Genomic DNA, 4,707 nt, shown 5'->3' on the forward strand with positions numbered 1-4,707 from the left:
CATTCATGTGATGTTTATAGTATTAGTGAAAGATCCCAAAGTCTGTGAATTATTCTGGGAGTTGGTCTCTTACATAATTCCCACGATTTTCATTACCATTAATAATGCACATTGGCCTCATCTCTTTAAGTTTCATGTCATATTCCTTTTAAAGTAATATGATGGTCTTGTATCAAGTCCTAATAAATTTATCTTGACAGTTTTCGTTAAAAGAATAAACATTTCTTTTAATGCATTTACAAACCCATGCATCCAATTTACAAAAACACACTTTAGGTACTTAATAGCTTTCAGGAAAGACATCTGATTCCACTTTTATCCATTGCTGAGGTTCTAATTACATTGATATAATAGCTGTGGGATTTTATTTTTACTGATCAGAGAAATTCCTCACTAATGTGGAGCAGAAAAGAAATATTACAATTTTGTTCTCTCTTCAGGTGTATACTTAAAGTCAGTTGGATCTAATTTATTTACTCCAATTCTTTCATATTGAGGATATCTTTGATGTTCCTTTAGACGTATTTGTTCAGTGAGCCTAAATATTTGGTGCACAATGAAGCCAAGAAAATAATTAATTAATTTGACTTGAACTTTTCTCTACAAAGCTGTGTACTCTGAGGCTGAAATGGGCTTGGTCTCACTATTGACTTAATACGTTTATTTGTGATACTGGTTCTTTTTTTAATAATACTGGACAGCATATCATTTAAAAATAATTACATGGCAATTAAAACAGTTTATATGGAAAAAGTTAGTGCTATATAAATAATATACCAATATAAACACACAGGGACTGTAATATTGACTTTTCTTGTATTATAATCTCTTTTTTTTTTTTTTTTTTTTTGAGACGGGGGTCTCGCTCTGTCGCCCAGGCTGGAGAGCAGTGGCGGGATCTCGGCTCACTGCAAGCTCCGCCTCCCGGGTTCACGCCATTCTCCTGCCTCAGCCTCGCGAGTAGCTGGGACTACAGGCGCCCGCTACCACGCCCGGCTAATTTTTTGTATTTAGTAGAGACGGGGTTTCACCATGTTAGCCAGGATGGTCTCGATCTCCTGACCTCGTGATCCGCCCGCCTCGGCCTCCCAAAGTGCTGGGATTACAGGCGTGAGCCATTGCGCCTGGCCTGTATTATAATCCTAAAAGACATTTTATAAATATCATATAATAGGTATCATTATACAATAATTATATACATTATAATATAATTATAAATATTAAAGCTAGAGCAGACTTAATAATTAATGACCTGAATTTTGAATCTTCATTTTACCATTAATAATTGATAATCTTCAACCAAATCATAAATTCTCTGAGTTTAATATTTTAAATTGAGGCAAGTAATAACTGATTAATGGGACTGTTTTGAAGCTGAGAAATTATTTTCTGAAAGCATTTGGTAAGTAAAGAAAAGTTATACATATAACATTTACATTTTCTATTGGGTATATTCTCATGTCCTATTTACATAGCAATATATAGTTTGATATATTTCATTTAAAAACAGAGGCAGTTTAAGTATTATGGGATAATACAAACTGAGATTAAATATCATGCAAATTAATTAAATAGTGCTCTACTTCTAAAATCCATAAAGAAATAATGAAAAACTTTATACTTGAAGTATTTTGGATAGTTTTCTGGGAGTGCCCACTACATAATAGATTAAATCATGTCCTCACTGTGGTTAGTACAGATAAATGTTACATAAATTCCAGTTGGTAATGCAAGACGACATAGAATCATTTATACATAGGAGTGGAATAAAATTTTTATCTTAAAAAAAATTGTTTATATTTGTCAATTGTTCTTCTGTGATGTCAACATAAAAAATGCTTAGGATAGCTCCTTAAGATATACACCACAAAGTATGTGTACACTATTATGTACTTGTAACTTATCTGATAAAAGATACACAGTACTGAAAATTATTTTAGTCCATTTATGTTTTATGTATTTCTTAGCATATGTTATTATCGCCACAGTAATGGTATATAAGAAAGCAGACCCAAATTTAGTGGCTTAAAATAATAATTGATTTTCTGTTTGTCATACAGCTGTGAGTCAGATATAATGGACCTGGTCTAGGTTGGGCTTGAAAATGACTCTTTTTCAAGAGTGCTTCCGGCTGGCCTTGAATCCTCACTACAGCTTTGGCTCATATTTGTTCCATGTCTATTCACTCTGGAGCTGCAGCCACCCAGGGAAAGCTCTTCTAACAGGGATGGTCGAAGTGTAAGACAGGGAGACCAAGAAAGCCCCAGCATTTTAAGGCTGTGCTTGCGTCACATTGCTAATAGTTTGTTGGCAAAGCAAGTTGCGTGGATGAGTCCAAACCCCGTAGGCTGGGAAGTAGACTGTACCTACAAGGTTGCCAAAGACAGCCATGGTCCCAGCCCAACATTAGTATCCTATGAACAAGCACATGGAGAAGAGGAAAAGAGTAAATATTTGCCATGTAAAAATCTAATCAGCCATACTCGAGGTTTTGTTTTACTTTTTTGTTTTTTTTTTTGTTTGTTTTTTTGAGACAGGATCTCACTCTGTCATCTAGGCTGTGTAGCAGGCAGCAGCCTCAACCTCTGGGGTTCAAGCAGTCCTCCCACCTCAGCTTCCTGAGTAGCTGGGACCACAGGCATGAACAACCACCACACCCAGCTAATTTTTAAAATTGTTTTGTAGAGATGGGGGTCTCACTGTGTTGCGCAGGCAGATCTTGAATTCCTGGGCTCAAGTGATATGCCCATCTTGGCCTCCCAAAGTTCATGGCCTGTGCATGAGCCATGGCGCCCAGTCCTGAGTTTGTTATTTCAATGAGTTTTATTGAGAAATAATTTACACATAATGAATTAATTCAATGTCATATTTCTTTGGAGATAATGTGATCATCTTGTGTCCGGCCATATTAAGCATTCAATAAAAGGCACCAAATGTAGGTGTACAGTTTGCTGAGTTTCAATGTACACATAAGTCTCTCTCTATATTTATATATTACATTGTTATATTTATTATATTGCAATTATATGTATATTTAAAGTACAGTAAGTCCTCACTTAATGTTCTTGATAGGTTCTTGGAAACTGTGACTTTAAGCAAAAGACATACAGCAGGTCCTGGAATAACATCATTTCCTTCAAGTTCATTTCATTATAACATTGATGAGAAAAAAATGGTTTTGTTATACATTGTTTCACTTAGAGTAGAAGTTTCCAAGAACCTATTAAAGATTTTAAGTAAGGACTTACTGTATACTTAGATTTTATTATGATTATGTTTCTATCATGTATGTATTTCTATTATATTTATGTGTATATCTCTATGACTATGCCTATATGTATATAAATATCATCTATCTATACATATAAAATGATTACAATCAAGATAATGGATGTTGTCATCATAACAAAATGTTTCCTCATGTCCAATCGCAGTGAATCCAACTCTCCTAAGCCTAGCCTAACCATACCTGTTACCTTATGTCTCTTGCCCTATTTTTCTACCTTTTCTACAACCAGACTTTTTGAAAGAATTTTCTATACCTCCTGTATTTTCATACTCTTCTCACAGTCAATTTTCTAAGGCACTGTGGTAGTAACCACTCCGCAGAAATTCCTCTAGTCATGTTCATTAAAACTCATCTATTAATAAATCAAATGCACATATTTCAATCCTTAACATTATCTGAATGTCCTGGATATCTTTATCTTCTTGATATATTAATATGTTCTTTCCCTGTGACCAAAACTATTTCCCCTTCCCCACCTTCTTGCTGGAGTAACTTCTTAGCCTTCCGATTCTAGCCTAGATGTTATTATTTCCTGGAAACCTGCCTCAATTCTTCAATTCTGAGTTACATAATCCTGGAATATTCAGTGCTCTTCCAGTGTTAACTCATCTTTTTAAGTTACTGGATAGTTTCCTATATTGTAAGGCTCATATGGACATAGAATATAATTTTTTTATCTCCATTGCATACATAGTGCCTATTGAAATGCTCGGTATATATTAAGTTTTATTTTCATGTACTTTCCAGGGCTAAATAATTAAACAGAATTATTCTTACAAAGCCATTTATTATTTATCCCATTAGAAATGATCACTTGTTTTTGGAGACGTAACTGCACATATAATTTGTTGCTGCATTTATTTTTATGTATGTACGGCATTAGATTTAAAGACATTATGTATATTTTGCTTTCCTGATGCTCATTTCAATACACACAGTTTGGCACTTACAAAAGTTATTTTGTAGGAATGATTGGATTGATGAACCTATTCTCTACCCAGGCATTTTCTCAGTGGCTTTCAACATGTTCTTCTCAGCCCTTCCACCAAAGCCCTCGGCCTCAGAATAGTGATTAGTGTCATTAAAGGTGAAATTTCTATTTCTTTAACAAATGTATATCTTGGTCCATGAAAATGAACCAAAATATCAAAAATATTCTCATACTTCTTGAGAATTTTCATATAAATAATTTTGTGCTTTTCCAGTGTATTGCTTCTTTACTTTGTGAAATGAAAAGCGTTTTTCCAAGTTTTCTTGTTTTTATACCTCAAAATTATCCTGGTAGATCATTAAAAATATATATAAAAGAAAAAATAGTCACTGTTGAATTTAGGTTTCTTATCAATGGCATGTGTTCTCAAGGGGATATAAAATGAAACTTCCCATTTCCTGACTGCAATCCTGGGGTCTGGTGCTGC

This window comes from Homo sapiens, chromosome 2 (genome assembly GCF_000001405.40).
Source record: "Homo sapiens chromosome 2, GRCh38.p14 Primary Assembly".
NCBI lineage: Eukaryota > Metazoa > Chordata > Mammalia > Primates > Hominidae > Homo > Homo sapiens.